The sequence below is a fragment of the Homo sapiens genome, chromosome 17 (genome assembly GCF_000001405.40).
Source record: "Homo sapiens chromosome 17, GRCh38.p14 Primary Assembly".
In the NCBI taxonomy this organism is placed as follows: Eukaryota; Metazoa; Chordata; class Mammalia; order Primates; family Hominidae; genus Homo; species Homo sapiens.
Window position 1 is genome coordinate 17,758,184 of NC_000017.11, and position 15,731 is coordinate 17,773,914.

The following is a 15,731-nucleotide window of genomic DNA, read 5'->3' on the forward strand; positions in this document are numbered from 1 at the left end:
AGCGGCCGCATCCCAGCAGCTCCGGGCAGGATGGCAGGGCCGCCACAAGCCCTACCAACCCGGCCACCACCTGGGCACTCAGCAAACCCTCTCCAGGGGATGGGCGGGGAGGGAGCCTTTGGCAGAGGAAATGGGTGGCTTACAGCTGAAAGGAGGTCCCAGCTGCTTTTGGTGAGCCCTGAAGACCCCAGCTCCTGCCTAGGTGAAGACAAGGGGCCCTGAAGCTCCCAGGCCTTCAGAGGCAGCACCTATGGACAGGGACGGGCTCCGGGAGCCTCCCTTCCTTGCTGCCCTGGTTAGAGGAAGCTTGTGAGATGGAGGACAGGAAAAGGCTTCGTAAACTGGAAAGGGCTGTGCAGATGTTGTTTACCGACTCACCCACCTGTCAGCTAGACGTTCCTGAGTGCCTGTTTCTCTGCAGGCAGTATCTGGGCACCAGAGATTTAAAACAAAGACAAAAGGCCCAATCCCTGTCGCATCTGGCTTGGTAGGAGACAGACGCGCCAACCCCTAATTGCAGTTGTGCAATGATCAACGTATGTACGAGGAGCATACTCAGGGCGGTGAGGATATCGCAGAGGGCCCTTCACGGGGGCTGATGCTGGGCAGGGTTTTGAAGGATGAACAGGGGAGGGTCTGTGTGTTCTGGACAGAGGGACTGGTGTATGCAAAGGCCCAGGGGTATGAAGCTGCCCAGCTGACAGGTGGATTACAGGCTGACCTGTTTTGGTGGGGAGGGGGGCTGGTAGAGGGAGCAGGGGTCAGAGGGTGCAGGACCTTGAATGCAAGCAAGAGAGTTTTTACTTAGAGGTTCTGGTCGCCATGGAAGGTTTTCAGCTGAGGAGGAACAAAGATTTGGGTTTGGGGAGTATCACCCTAATTGCGCAGATAAGGATACCAAGGCCTGCGCAGGTGAGAACACCTGCCCAGGCAGGAAGCAGGGGAGGCTGGCTGCTCTCTGCAAGCTGTTAAGATGCACCTGCTGTATGTCCATCCCCACATGGGGAAGGGTGGTGTGACCTCAGACCCTGGGACAGCATGCCTAGAGAAGAAGAAGCGGGCAGGGAGCTTGTGGGCTCTTGCCAGGTCAGAGTGGCCAACTACGAGGAGTTGTCTCACTCTTTGCATCTCCAGAAATCAGGACACAAGTTGAGACACAGACTTCAGCCCAGCTATGGATGCGTCCGTTGGCAGTCTCTCCACCTAGTGACAAATAATATATATGTTCATTGCAGAACATTCAGCAAATAGAAGTCTCAAGAAAATAATGTTTCCCTGCAGTCTCACCCCACCACCCCCACCCTCTGATGGCCAGGTCACATTTTGGGCCCAGTTGCTCCAGAACCAGGTACAGATACACATTTTTTAAAACAGAAGTTGCATCATGTTCTTTCTGCATACCCTCAGTGACCTGCTTTTCGCCCTTCATACGCTGGAATAGTTCCCCATGTCTGCACATATTTCGGGGTGAGGTTTGCCAAGAGCCACGCTAGCCAGAGGGGACCCAGCTGACCTAGAATGTTCGGTGCTTGTCTTCAAGGGCAGAGGCCGTGCCTGGCCTGCCCACTGCTGCACTCAGCACCAAGCATGGAGACAGGCCCCCAGTGGATGCTGAATGCAGAGCTGTGAAAAGAAGTGGAAGCTGTGTCCGTGAAGCTGAGTACAAGTTGGACAGAGCCCACTAGGATGCTGTAATCTTGATCTGGGGCTAAATTGAGTCTTGGGGTAAGATTTGTGCTTATTAAGGGCTCTGGATGCTTGGGGTAATAGATGGAAGTTTTTCAGGGAGGGCTTCCTGGAGGAGATGGGCTGTAGAATAAAGCAGAAGGGAAATAAATGCATAACTGTCCATTCACTCATCTAACAGACATCCCCAGAGGGCTCCCTCCTGGTCAGAGCCCTGTGCTGGACAGGACTAGGCACCCAGACAGAGTACTGCCCCCACCTGCTGCCAGCCCTGGGGGAAAGACAGACAAGTGCCCAGGTCACTGTGGCTGTGTGCTCGAGCAGTGCTGTAATGGTGGAAGGGTAGACAGTGAGGGGCCAACTTTACTGATAGCCCCCACTTTACTGATATCCCCCACCTCCTAGCCAAAGAAGTTGGGGATTGATTTATGGGAGGGAGCAGTTTGGCATCAAGGTGTGCCTGTAGATGATGGACTTAGAGGGCTCAGGAGGGAAGCCCATACATCCTGCATACTCGGGATGGGCTTGGCATCAGGGTCAAGGTCACCCAGACTGTACCCAGAAGTTTGGCTCAGCCCAGTGTCCCTGGCCTGGGAACTCCTGGATGCCGAGGGTTTATGGCAGCTCAGTTAGTGGCCTAGCCCTGGGTCCCCGCCATGGAGAGGGGCCCCTGACGTCCAACGTCCACTCCCAGAGTCCCACACCAAGGAGGCCCCCAGCCCCACCCAGAAGTCAAAGGGTGTATCTTTCCAGAGTCTAGAAGCTGGAGCTGCTGTGGGGCCTGGGCCTTGGTCTCCTCGGCTGTCAAATGGTGGCACCACCCTGCAGGGAACGTGTGGAGCTAAAATAAAATGTGTTCCAGGTGCTGGTGCCACAGGGCTTAGGGCCACACTGCAGAAAACCCTTCCTCCTGCTTGGTCCTAGCTGCCCAGGGCCAGGCCAAGAAAGGCTTCAGGAAGAAGCCCCCACCTCCTAGCCAAAGAAGTTGGGGATTGATTTATGGGAGGGAGAAGTTTGGCATCAAGGCGTGCCTATAGGTGATGGGCGTAGAGGGCTCAGGAGGGAAGCCCCGCAGATTACCCCCTTGCCAAGAACCTCCTAGAACTGCATACTCAGGGGATAGGCAGCTCATTCACAGTGAAAGTGTTTTGGAGTCAAACAGACCTGGGTTCAAGCCCCAGCTCATTCACTTCCCAGCTGTGTGACCTTAGGCTAGTTCCTTGTCCTCTCTGTGCTCAGAGTCCTCATCTTTACAGTGGAAATGATAATGATAGACCAGTATTGTCCTGAGGGTTGAAAGAGGCGACCCATATGTGAGTGCCTCAGCACAGGGACTGGCACATAGTAAGTGCTTGGCAAATGAAAATGGTTCTTCTAAGGCTTTTTTTTTTTTTTTAACTAGTGCCCAAGGAAGTGGGGGTGGCAGATTCCTCACTGGTCTCTTAGGTTCCTGGCACACATGCAGCCACCAGATTGAGCCTCTGGAATCGTACCAATCCATTTACCAGCCCACGTCATTAGCTTTTTCTGAGCACCTACTCTGTGCCAGGCACAGGGGCACCATGGTGGAACTGGAAGCAGCAGGCTCGCTGGGAGGCTGACAGCTGTGGATCCTGACCTGTGGAGTGGCCAGTGCCCCGGGGGATGGTGGAAGGGGAAGAGGGTATCTAGGGCAGGCATCAGTTGGAAAGTCACAGTGAGATTTGAGAGGAGGTGATCCCTGAACTAGTGACAAGGCCTACTAGCATTTTGCCAGGCAAACTAGGAGCAGGTGGAAAGGTTGGGAGGCACAAAAGGTTGGGAGACTCCCAGAGGGTGCCAGTAGCTCCTTGTAAGTCATTGTTGCTGGGCATGAAATTTGGGAGCTGGGGAGGTGGGTGGGAATCCCCTGTGAATGCCAGGCCAAGGAGGCAGGGACAGTGTCTGATTGGTGACTGGGGCCTGGGCAGCATCTGAGCAGGGAACACAGTTGAGTGGGAGAAAGGTGGTGGTCACTGAGGAGCGAGGGCAGGTGGGGGGATGGAAAGGTCTCAGGACAGGGGGCCCAGCAGGGAGGGAGGCATGGGAGGGAGGTCTCAGGGCATCCAAGGGACTTTTGGTTGAACCAGAAGTTCCTGAGTGTGAGCGCGGCCCAGAAACAGCCACAGGCCTCATCCCTGCACTGGGCTCGAGGCTGGAGTGCCACCAGCAGCTACCCATCCATTGGGCATGCGTGTGTCTGCTGTATGCCCTGACAAGACAGATGGACTCTGCCCTCACGGAGCTTACCAGTGCAGAGAGAAAAGAGAGTGAATAAATATACGAGGGAGGTGATTTTGGAGAGTGGTAAGAGCTAGGGACTAGGGGAGTTCCCTTAGGCAGGGCAGTCAGGGAGGGCTTCTCAGATGAGGTGACTGGGCTCATTGGAGAAGACCCAGGAGGATGGCGTCCCAGGCGGAGGGAACAGCATGTGCAAAGGCCTGGGGGTCAGGGGCATGGCATGTGTGAGGAGCCAGTGGGAGCCAGTGTGGTTGGAGTGTGCATGGGAGCGGGGTGGGAAATGAAGCTGGGGAGGAGTACCCCTAACCTTAGACAGCTAAGAGGTTCAAATTTAGTTGAGGGAAAGTTCTGACTCTACCCCCAGCAGCAAGGGAGCTTCCCCACCAAAGCAGGAGATCTGGCTCTCAGCATTCACTTTACTTTCCTGTGTGACCTTGAGCAAGTGGCCCACCCTCTCTGGGCTTCCAGAGTCTGTGGCAACACAGAGGAAAGTGAGGTGCTTGCTCAGAGACTCGCCAGCTGTGACTGGCCAGGGGTTTGATCCCAGTCATTTCTGCTCTGTGGTGGGGGACTTGTCGGGAGGGGCAGGTAGAGGTGAGCTCAGTAGAACCAAGAGCCCCCAGGACACAGGGCATCCAGGAGGCCTGTGCTTCCACAGCCTGTTCACTCCTTCATGCACCCGCCTCCCCCTCCCCACTGCACTCCTGCCCACACTGCCCACTCCCCAACCCCCTCCTCTCTCTAGGGCTGAAAGCAAGAGGCTCCCATGGGGGCTGGCCCGATGATTGGCAGAGTCGATAAAGGCCACTTGGAAACCCTCCTGCTCCAGGTGGTTCCCCGCTGGCATTTGTAGCTGGGATTCCGAGGCCAGAGCTGAACCCAGAGATCATTTATCACACAGCCTCAAATGGAGGCTTTTCTGGAAAAAAAAAAAAAAAGTTCTTTCTCTGAGATTCCAACTTGCATTGTCTAAAACAGGTTAATTGGCAACACCGTTTCCCCCAGATCCTTCCCTGCATCCCCCCGCTTTCCTGGGGTGGGAATGGCAGCCCCTGGAAGTAGAGAAGGGGGACAGGTTTAAGACACGCCGCATTTTCAGAGCTTGCTAGCCATGTGGAGACTGCCAGAGGAATCCTAGAGATCCACCCAGTGACCACGGCTGCTGGGCTGCACTTAGCTTTGTGATCCAGACCGGGAGCTGCCTGTGAAGTCCCTCCCCAAGGAGCTGGAGGTCAGGAGCCTGTGTGTCTCACTCCCTTCCTTGCTTGTTCCTATGGGAAATGACAATTGACCACTGATACACGCCCGCCCTCAAGGAGCTGCTGGCAGCAGCAAGAGGGGTGAGCTGTGCTGGGGCAGAGGGGGCACCGAGGGACCCTGGGAGCCAAAAGACGGGGCCAGCCCACTCTGCCGGAGTGGCCAAGGAGCAAAAGCAGTCTGCCTGGAAGGCAGGCAGGGAGAAGTGTGCTGGGCACAGGTACGGGGGCCCAGGTCATAAAAGAACCTGGTGCATTTGAAAAGCTGTGAGATCCCAGCATGCCTGGAGTGTAGAATCCACGGGACTCATAGTCAGAATGTTTCTGTTTCACAAAGCCAGAGAGGTTGGGAGGGTCCAGGCCACAAAAAGCCTAGAATGCCTGGTTGTACTCCTCAAGATAGGCTGGGCGTGCTGCATAACAAATATCCCCAAATATCAGCCCCTTCAAACAGGGTTTGACCCTCACTCATGCCAGGTCTCTGACCAGACAGCTGGGAAACTGCTCACTGATGTCACTCAGGACCTGGGCAGACAGAACAACAGCCATTAGGGCTATTTTCGTGGCACAGAGGGAGAGAGACAGGTGTACAGATGCATGGAGCTTCCTAAAGCAGCATGTGGCACTTCCACTTGAATTTCACTGCAAAGTGGGCCACATGGCCATCCTCCGGACATCTTTATGGGCTAGTGACACGCTTGCTGCCTTTGGCTGAGGAGGACAGGAAATATTTGGTGGTGGTGCCGACACTGACCACAAAGACCAAGAAGGTTCAGCACTTTACCCTGAGCAAGGTGAGGAGCCTTGGGAGGGATTGAGTAGAGTAGGCTGCAGCCTCATTTAGTTTTACTTTTTAACTTTTTATTGACTTGCATACAGAGAAGAGCACGAATCATAGGTGGACAGCTGATGAATTTCTGCAAACCAAACACACTCGGGTATAACTGAAGTTCAGATCAAGAAAAAGAACATCACCAGCCCCCAGATGTCCCTTATCCCCCTCATCAGGCATTTCCTGCCCAAGAGTACTTTTGTCTGCCTTTGAGTTTCACAGACATGAAACCTTTTCTGTCCAACTTCTTTTCCTCTTTTTTTTTTTTTTTTTTGAGACAAAATCTTGCTCTGTCACCCAGGCTGGAGTGCAGTGGTGCGATCTCGCCTCACTACAACCTCCGTCTCCCGAGTTCAAGCAATTCTCGTGCCTCGGCCTCACAAGTAGCTGGGATTACAGGTGCCTGCCACCACGCCTAACTAATTTTTGTATTTTTAGGGTTTTGCCATGTTGGCCAGGCTGGTCCTGAACTCCTGGCCTCAAGATATCTGCTTACCTCGGCCTCCCAAGTAGCTGGGATTACAGGTGCCTGCCACCACGCCTAACTAATTTTTGTATTTTTAGGGTTTTGCCATGTTGGCCAGGCTGGTCCTGAACTCCTGGCCTCAAGCTATCTGCTTACCTCGGCCTCCCAAAGTGCTGGGATTATAGGCATGAGCCACCGCGCCTGGCCTCCTCTTCTTTTACTATTTATGAGACCTATCTGTGCTGTGTGTGGCAGTGGTTTTTCATTATTGTGTAGTATTCTATTGTGTGCATATGCCACAGCTTATTTCTCCCTCCTACTTTTGATGAACACTTGGATTGTTTATAATCGGAGGATCTTCGGTGGCTTGCGCCTGTATTCCCAGCACTTTGGGAGGCTGAGACGGGAGGAGAGTTTGAGACCAGCCCAGGCAACATAGCAAGACCTCATCTCTCAAACATTTTTTTGAAAACTAAAATAGTTGGAGGATCTTGTGAATATACCTGCCGTGAACATTCTCCAACACATTGTTTGGTTCCTGTATGTGGAGTTCCCATTCAATGTGTGCCTTGGAAGTGGAACTGCCATGGTCTCATTTGCATTTAAGAAGCCTCTACTGGACACACAGAAGAGACCGAGGTACAGTCCAGGCAGGAGGTGGAGGGGAAGGTATGTGGGCCCAGCCCTAGGGCTCCTCCACCTCAGAATCCAGAAACATCCCCAGCGTGGACTTGTCTTCCAGGCGACTTGGGGGTCTGTATTGTACACACAAGATGAAAATCGTGTAAAGCAAGGCCCAGACACATGAGGCTGAGTGTGCAGCCCCAAACGGCAAGACGTAGGCCTTACTGTGTGAGTCACACGGTGGTGTTATAGCACATTCTAGTACACAGGCAAGAATAGTTGTATAATATTTGAATGCACTGAACTCACTTCCACCAGGTACACGTGTGAGGAATCTCCCTGCAAGTCACCCGTTTCACAAGAGGGAAGACGGCCCATCTTTTAAGTCAGGGGAGGGGACCACTTGCCCTGGGGCCTCGGGCTGGGGTTCAGCCTGCCTCTGTTCCCCACTCTTGGACACACAGGATGAAGGGCCCCAGTGCTGATCGCTCACAGGGGTGGTAAGACTTACCCTGTTACCCTCTTGGGGTGTGGCATTTCTTAGAAGCCAAGCATGGGTAATCCTTTGCCTGGAATGAAGCCAGGAGAATGGTGGGGCTTCAGGCTCTGGTTCTAGAAGACAGGGCTTCTTGGGAGCTGCCCCTGGAGCCTCCCAGCCTGAGCGGTAGGTGCTGGAGCTGGTGCCTTTGAACTTGGATTCATCACAGGGAAGACCTGGGGTCCAGGCCTGGTTCCGAGGTGCCCAGGCCAGCCCCTGAGCAGCCAGGCGGCCTTCTTGTGAACTCACATTGTAGTGTCCCGTGCAGCTGTCCTGGTCCTGCAGGATGCATTCCCCACCCCCAAGCCCTTAAGGGCTGTTGGGTTTTGTTTTTAAGAAACATATGGCCTAGTTGTTACTTTGGCTGGCCTCCCCAAGCCTCATGTCTCTGAGACCCCCACTCCTAAGGAAGGGGGCCAGGCATTGATGGGGGTGTCTGGGAAGCCGAGGGAGGATGCCTGCCAGTTATGAGAAAGATGCATCTTTGTCGCAGACACATGTGGGGCGCTCTATGTAAATTGTTTCAGCGCCTAACAGGAAGAAGAAAAATGAGGCTTTGATGCGAGCCACCACCTCTCAGCCAGGCGTGGTGTCACTCAGGCGCGTCCGAGGCCTGCTTCTATTAAGGAGCTGTAAGCTCTTCTCAGGCCAGAGACCCAGGGTGCTCTCTGGGCAGGAGGTGGCTCTGCTCTGTCTGCCGAACTCTGGGCGTCAGCACTGGGGCGTGCTGGGGCCTCAACCCAGCCCCACCTCCAAGGCAGGCGGAGAGCACTGCTGATGGATTCCCCAGCACTGCACTGTGCGAGGCCCAGGGCGGGGACCCCAGCAGGCAGCGTGGTAGGGTTTGCTGGGGATGACAGGCAGGCGCACAGGCGGCGGCACTGTTAGGCCCCATGTGATGGCCACAGCCTGGCACAGGAATCGGTGCTCCAGGCAGCAGACAGCAAAGGTGTGGAGGCAGGAAAGGAGCCACTGTCTCTGAGGCCTGGGAGAGCACTGCGGGTGCTGGAGATAGATGGTGGCAGGGGCCAGCTCAGGGGAGGGCAGGAATCTGGTCTTGTGGCTTTGGAAGCCCATGGGTTGCGAGCAGGAGAGGGTGGGGTGGTGTGAGTCTGAGGGAGGTCTCAGATGGGAGGGGAGGGCGGAGTGGGGCAGGGACCAGTGAGGGCCAGAGTGGAGACTGGGCAGGAGGGCATAGCACACACATGGACATGCTTCCCAATGAGCCCTGGCCCAGTCAACTCCCAGCTCCAGGAACCCCCCACAGCCCTTTGCTGGGGTGCACACCGTCCAGAGCACTGACTTCCCCAACGAGCCAGGTGGAAATGTCCCAGGGAGGACCCCGGGGCCTGAGGAGCCTACTGAATCCTCAACAAAGAAGGGAAGAGAGGCCTAGGCCACAGCAGGCCCAGAATTATTGTGTTATGCTCTGGATCTTGGGGAATGTGTAATCCCCACACCGTATCTATGGCAACTCTCCATTAACCAGAATTTGGTTCTACAAATTCCTGTTCCCATTCATTCTAGAAAACTCAGAGCTGTTGGTCTTTTTAAAAAAACTCGCTGAAAAAAAAAAAAAGATACTAAAGAATGTAAAGAAGAAAATGAAGTCAGCTCCAGCCCCTCTGCTGAGAACACACTGATGTTAGTACTTTCGTGCATTTCCACCCAGTTTGTTTAAGAAAATTGGGATTGTGTTGAATGCCTGCTTTTGCATCCTGCCTTTTCCATTGTGCTTCAGATCATGAGCATTTGGCAGGTCAGAAAAAAAATGTCTTTGGAAGCTGGGCTGTGGGGACTGGGGTTTGGAAGGCTTGCTGTGTGCTGTGATCCTTCAGGGGTCATCGCCCTCCCTAAGCCTCAGCCTTTGCCTCTCTGCAGGGAGAGACTGAAGGACATTTCTCAGGCTCCCGCCAAGAGTCTCAGTGTTTTCCTTGCAATGGTGGCCTTGTTATTCCAGCCTTGCTACTCACAGGTGGGCCTGGTGATGTTTGTGGCAGGGTGGGCACAGGGCTGGCACTGCCACCAAGTACGTAGTTGAGCCGGTAAGCTCAGAAACGTGGGCTCACTCCAGCCTTGAGCACTTTCCCATCTCGTGATCCTGGGCAAATGACTTTGCCTCTCTGAACCCCTATCTCTTAAGCTCCAGAACCGGGTGGTTGTGATGGTTCATTGGCTTAATGTAAGTGGAACTCTTAGCATATAATAAGTGCTCAGTAAAGAGGAACTGTTGCTACCCTGAGGATTGCTGGTATCTGTGATGTCACAGGTGTAATATGAGGATTAAATCATGACCTTCTTGCAGCATTCAGCAGAATGCCTGGGACGTAGGGGACACTGTCAGGGGGTGGCACCTGGTCCCATGGTCTAGCCAGGACTATCTTTGTGGCCCTTAACTTGTGCAGCTGCCCAGGGCTGGCGCTCAGAAATGGCCTGTGCTTGGTGCATGCTGCTCTGCTGTTGCTATCTTGAGTTTTTATTACTTTGTGAGCAAGAGGCCCTACATTTTCATTTTGCACTGAGCCCCACAAATTCTGAGGCCACTCTTAACAAGAGGATTAATCCCTAGGGCAGACTGGCAGGGCACCCCACACATCCACGGTGCTCAATAGCTATTTGGAGGGTGAAGGCAGGACTGAATGGGCCTTGGTTCAGAGGAGAACAGTACCCCAGCGAGGCCAGGTGGCTTGCCCAGTTTACACGCCAGACATAGGGCCAGGCAGTGCTCTGACCATCACGTGAGGGGCTGTCAGGGCGACGGTGTGTCTGTCAAGGGCAGGAAGTGGGCTGTGTGGAGTGCCAGCCAGGATGGGCAGGGTAGCCTGCGCCCTGCTGACCTGCAGCCAGACACACTGGGGAGACACAAGACGACTCAGGTTGGAATCGATTGAAACCAAGCCAAGAGCTTGGGCCTTGGAGTGCATGGGAGGGGGAGGAGGTTCAGACCCAAGGTGGCGGCTGCGGCTGGTGTTAGCACTTCTTCCCGGCAGGGTGGGCAGGGCCCCATTAGGGGAGGCAGGCCTGGATGCCCCCCAGCACCCTTTCATGAGGGGGAGAGAGGAGAGGAGCAAGGCCCAGGCCACCTGGTATTCAGAAGGCTGAAGTGACAGTGTCAGGCAGTTTGGGGGGCAGATGAAGCCGTGGCAAAGGGTGGCCAGGAGGCCAGAGCAGCACTCACAGATGAGGTGGGATTGGGGCCACCTGCATGTGTGGGGAAGGAGCCCCCAGGACTCGGTGTGTGGGCCTCTGGCTGACAAAGGCCACTCTGCAGAAAGGAAATTAGAAAGAAGAAATGATTTCTTGGCTCATGTCTTCACGAACAAGGGAGAAAGTTGCTGGCGTGGTCTCCTCACAGAAGAGCCAGGGTATCTGAGGGGAGCCCTTTCTCTGCCAGCTGGGTCACCCTCAGGGCTGGAGGTGCTGGATGCCAGAGTAGAAGTGGATGGATGGGGGTGTCCCCCCAAAAGGAGAGGGAGACAAGGTGAGGCTGTGCCTTTTAAGCCTTCTGCGCAGGCCTCCTTGGGACAGCCCGGGTCGGATCTCAGACTGCAGCATGTGGGGCTGGGAGCCAGCTCCCCCGAGGCACGGGGGCTCAAGAGGTCTGAGCAGCATGCTGAGGTCAGGGCTGGAGGAGCAGAAAGTAGTAGGGAGCCACTGATGGCGTCATAATGAAGGAGCGACATGACAAGCTTGTGAGGGGCCACACAGGGCAGAGGCTAGGGACGAGGAGATCCCGCTGGCAGCTGGGCATGGAATTTCTGGTGGGTAGTGAAACAGCCAGACCTAGGACCTGTGGCAGTGAGGATGGGGAGGGGGCCAGATGGGCACACTTCAGGCAGGGGAACCCCAGGACTTGGGGGCCTCCTCAGAGAGGCCTTACAGAAGGACTGGGGCAGCAAGCAAGGCCTGTGGGGCGAGGAGGCCTAAGGACACCATGGATGCACTGGAGCCAAGCCATTAAGGACCCTGCACCCCGGCCAGAGGCCTCACTCAGGATGGCTGCAGTGGAGACTGAAGAGATGGGTCGGGTGGAGGGAAATGGGCTTTGCCCTCAGGAGGTGGTTGTGGGAGGAGATGCGGTCACCCGGGAAGAGAGGCCAGAGGATGGGACCGAGGAGCAGCGACACGGGAGGACGGCAGGGCGGGTGAGCGGGGGGGCCCTGCCCAGGGTGACAGGGCTTTGCTGGGCCCTCCAGGACCCTAGGCAGGGTCTCCCCTGGAACCAGGCGGTACAAGGCCTGTGATGGGAGGGGCGGGAGGATGAGGGATTGCTGGCAGGAGGGCCTGGGACCAGAAGTCTCCACTGCAGCCATCCTGAGTGAGGCCTCTGGCCGGGGTGCAGGATCCTTGTCTACCTGCGGGGTAGGGAGACAGCCTGTCTCCCAAAGGGCGGTGGGGTGGCTGAGCCTCAAGGACAAAGGCAGGCGGGGGCAGGGGAAGGAGCCTGTGGCTGGGAGCTTAATGGCCCCGAAAAAAAAACATAAAACCAGAGAATTATGGGGAGACATAAACAGAGCTGTCAGGCATTAGCTGCAGGGAGACGGCTCAGCCTGGGTAAGAGATGCTGGCGGCTGAGCTGGGATCCTTGCGTGTGCATAAAAAAGACAGAAGTTATAAAAGGAGGGAGATTAAGAAGATACTGCCTCTTCCATGATTGGGCTCCCCGGCCAATTCCTTTCTCACGCCCCGGCTGAGGCCCCAGTCGCACACTGACCCTAGGGGCCTGGCCTGCGAGGCCTGGCCAGGTCAGGGGCCAGGGCCTGCCAGCGGCCAGGGAGGTCCATGGGGGTGGGTGGGGGTGGGTAGCGACTTGGCCCAAGCTAGTGGAGGGGCCGGGGAGCCAGGCCCAAGGACGCAGGCGGCGCCAGCCCCAGCAATTTATGGGTGCTCACACACCCTGCCGTCTTCATTTTCCCCGTTGCTGCTGCTGTCATTAGCCAAGCACTAATGGGCTTAAATTTCACCTTAAACCATCCCCACTGTCCTCAGCAGATGACAAACGCCCTACTCTCGCCGGCTGCAAAGCTGCTGGGCGGCCTCCAAGCAGGCATGTGCCCTCCCTCTGCCCGTGTCCTCTGGCCCTCAATAAGGAGGCTCCTAAGGACCCAGGGCCTGGGATACTCACAGGCCGGGAGAATTCCTGGGGGTGTCTGGGAGCCCAAGGAAGGGCAGGGCTCAGGAAAGGGGGCTTCAGGGGGATCTTTGGAGACCCTGGGATGATAATGGATGGGGAGACAGGAGCCCAGGGTCCAGGGGCACCCCACTGTTTGGCCTTGGCAGGGCCATGCCCCTGACCCTGCCCAGGTGTCATGAAGAAGGGCCCTAGGAGCTACCCGCCATGTTTTTAAAAGCCTTAGGGAAATCATATTTTGCTTAGGCTAACAAAAATAGCAGTGGCTTTGCTTGGGGTTAGAATTCCATCCATCCATCCATCCATCCATCAAATTCGTTCACTCATTCATTCAGCAAATGTGGCCCATGAGCCCCTGGCCTGAGCAGGTCCATGAAAGGCCCGACTAGCTGTTCATTTGAGGCCCATGAGAGGGAACAAGTGGGTGATCTCTAAATGCAGTTCGTTTGGGAGACAAAATCCTTTAGCAGTGGCTCTGAGGATGGGAGGGGAAGTGACCAAGGGGCTCTAGAGGCTGTGGGGACAGAGTGCATCAACCTGGGGTGCATCCAGTCCATGAGGCGGGTGTTTGCCCGAAAAGGAGACAGGAATAGAGATGGAGCTATGGCAGAGATGCAGGGATTGCTGGGGGCTCCCTGCTCATGTGTGCACATAGCCATGGCCACCGCCTCCCGCCTTTGTTTCCCAGCAAGGGGCAGGTGCCCGAGGAGCTGCTGGGGTTGATCCACCATCAAAGCCGGCCTGTCGGGGGCTGGTATGCAGAGTCATCCCTTTCCCATGGGAATCTCGCTCCCTTCCAAGCCCCCAGCACCCGCCTTTCATCCCTGTGCTGAGAGCCAGTACTCCCACTGACACCCAAACAGTGATGCCAAGGAGGCACTGCCAGAGGGAGGCCACCACCATACAGGCCTGGAATGTCACACTCTCTGTCCCCACCACCCCCCACCTGCAGTGAGCCTAGGGGAAAGAACAGGCTGGCACAGGCATTAACTGGAGATGGAGGGTGGTGCATGGCTCTGGGCCACCATGCTGTGTGTCCCCTTGTCCTCTCTGGGCCTCAGACATGCAATCTGTCACCTAAGGGTATTGACCCTGCCAGGCTCTGGCACACCAGGAAATGTAAGCCAGACTCAAGGGTTGGCAATATGTACGGGAGGTTGGGTGAGGCATCTTCTCCAGTCCAGGAGGAAGGGATTCCTAACTGGTGCTTAGGACCATGGACTTTGGAGAAATCTATTCCTCCCCACCAGTATCTAGAATTGGCTGTGGAGTCCTGCCAATGCTCTGTTCCTGACATTTCTAGAATTTCTCCCTGCATTTCCAGCCCCTGCCACCACTTTGGTCTGGCCCCATTATTGCTCTCTGGGGGACAGTCCCAGCTTCCTGTTCACTGGCCTCCTGGCCTCCCCTCTCACCCCCATCACCAATCCATCCTGCCTCACTGCAGCCACTGCAGACTCCCCAACACACATGTGTGATGCTCACTGTTGCTCACTCTCTGGGGCTCCCCGTGGCCCTCACCACAACATCTGTGCTCTCCACTGTGGCCCAGAGGGCCACACACCACGTGGACCCTGCCCATCTCTCATTTCTTGCCTCTCACTTCCACTCGAGAGCCAGCCTGCATTCTCACTACTATCTCTCACTCTCTCCTGCCTTCCAGGCTTTTCCTCTTTCCCTTGCTAACTCCGGCACATCCCCTAGGTCTCAGGTGAAGTGTCACTCCCCTGGGAAGCCCCTCTGCCCTCCTGTTCCCACTCAGGTATGACGTAGGGCCCTTTCCCATGCGCTGGCACTTACTTGCCTTCTCCACGAGGCTCTGAGCCCACAGCTGTCTCTGGGTGCTCAGTCTCTAGCAGGTGTATGGCATACAGTAAGCACTTAGTAACTGCTTCTGAGATGGACAGATGGGTATGTGCAAGGGTGGATGGGCAGGTGGGTATGTGTGCATGGATGCATGGATAGAAAGAAGGTAGGCTGGTGAGTGGATGGATGGGTGGGTGATTGTGAGGTATACAGGTGAGTGAGTGGATGGGTGGATGGATAGATGGGTGTGTGTGCATGGATGCATGGATAGACTGATGGGTGGGTGGGTGGGTGGATGGATGGATGGATGGATGGGTGGGTGGGTAGGTGAATAATAGATGGGTGGACTGTTGTGTGGGTGGATGGAGAGGCCAGGTGGTCTATGAGGTGAGTCCAGAGGCATTAGAAAATGGAGTTCTAAGCCTTTGGCTTTCCATGGGCCCCAATTTCTCTGTCTGTAAAATGGTCAGCTCAGCTCCTGTGCCCAGCGTGGAGGCTCAGGATGAGCTGGAGAGAAGGTGGAGGCTTCAGCAGGCAGCACATCAGGCGCTCCACAGACAGTGCATGGGACAGAACAAGGTTGCTTGGCGTCCCTGCAGCCCAAGGGCTCCCTTCTTCAGGGGGACACCGATGCCCTCCTCCATCCCTGCTTGCTCCCAGGATCCTTGCCCAGGTAGCAGACTGGGAACCAGACCCATAGAGTTCAAATCTAAACGTTGCTGCTCACCAGGAAATTCCCTTTGCCTCCTAGGCCTTAATGGCACATCTATAAAATGGGGGTGCTCGTGTATTCATGTTCTTTGCAGTTTCTCTGGGGATCAAAACAATGTGACGAAGGGAGGCAGAGAGAAAAAATGCAATGTGACAGGGAAGATGGCACCTCTCCTGATGCCCAGCACACAGAGGGTACCCAGGAAATATGGGGCTTAGAATCTCAACACCTGAAAGAGCAGCTTCTGCTGCAGCCCCTGCCACAGGCGCCACACTGGCCACAGTGCTCCCTCCTAGCCCTTCTTCCCCTGGCCAAAGCTACCTCTGGAAACTGAGTTCGAAGTTTCCAAACCTTATCCCAGACCCCATAGCCATGAGTTATAATAGGCACATAATTAATAATCACGTAATTATAATGTCTA

General features: G+C 55.5%; 1 protein-coding gene and 1 long non-coding RNA gene across 8 annotated transcripts in view, besides 3 other annotated features; one reads left to right on the forward strand and one right to left on the reverse strand.

Moving 5' to 3' along the window:
- The window catches only part of RAI1 (retinoic acid induced 1), a 129,996-nt gene that overhangs the window by 76,726 nt on the left and 37,539 nt on the right, over positions 1-15,731 (forward strand). The window lies entirely within an intron of this gene.
- On the reverse strand, positions 971-8,119 carry RAI1-AS1 (RAI1 antisense RNA 1). Its single transcript, NR_130894.1, has 2 exons — positions 7,635-8,119; positions 971-1,203 (listed from the first exon to the last, which is right to left on the reverse strand). It is a non-coding gene; the product is annotated as an RAI1 antisense RNA 1 (long non-coding RNA).
- Positions 4,482-5,094: an enhancer, noted in NCBI's record as "H3K4me1 hESC enhancer chr17:17665979-17666591 (GRCh37/hg19 assembly coordinates)". NCBI's record gives its function as "activates a minimal SCP1, AML or CMV promoter by ChIP-STARR-seq in naive H9 embryonic stem cells {active_cell/tissue: H9 hESC(naive)}" and the evidence as "EXISTENCE:reporter gene assay evidence [ECO:0000049][PMID:30033119]".
- Positions 5,095-5,706: an enhancer, noted in NCBI's record as "H3K4me1 hESC enhancer chr17:17666592-17667203 (GRCh37/hg19 assembly coordinates)". NCBI's record gives its function as "activates a minimal SCP1, AML or CMV promoter by ChIP-STARR-seq in naive H9 embryonic stem cells {active_cell/tissue: H9 hESC(naive)}" and the evidence as "EXISTENCE:reporter gene assay evidence [ECO:0000049][PMID:30033119]".
- Positions 8,083-8,142: an enhancer, noted in NCBI's record as "active region_11810". NCBI's record gives its function as "activates an Ori minimal core promoter by ATAC-STARR-seq in GM12878 lymphoblastoid cells {active_cell/tissue: GM12878}" and the evidence as "EXISTENCE:reporter gene assay evidence [ECO:0000049][PMID:35858748]".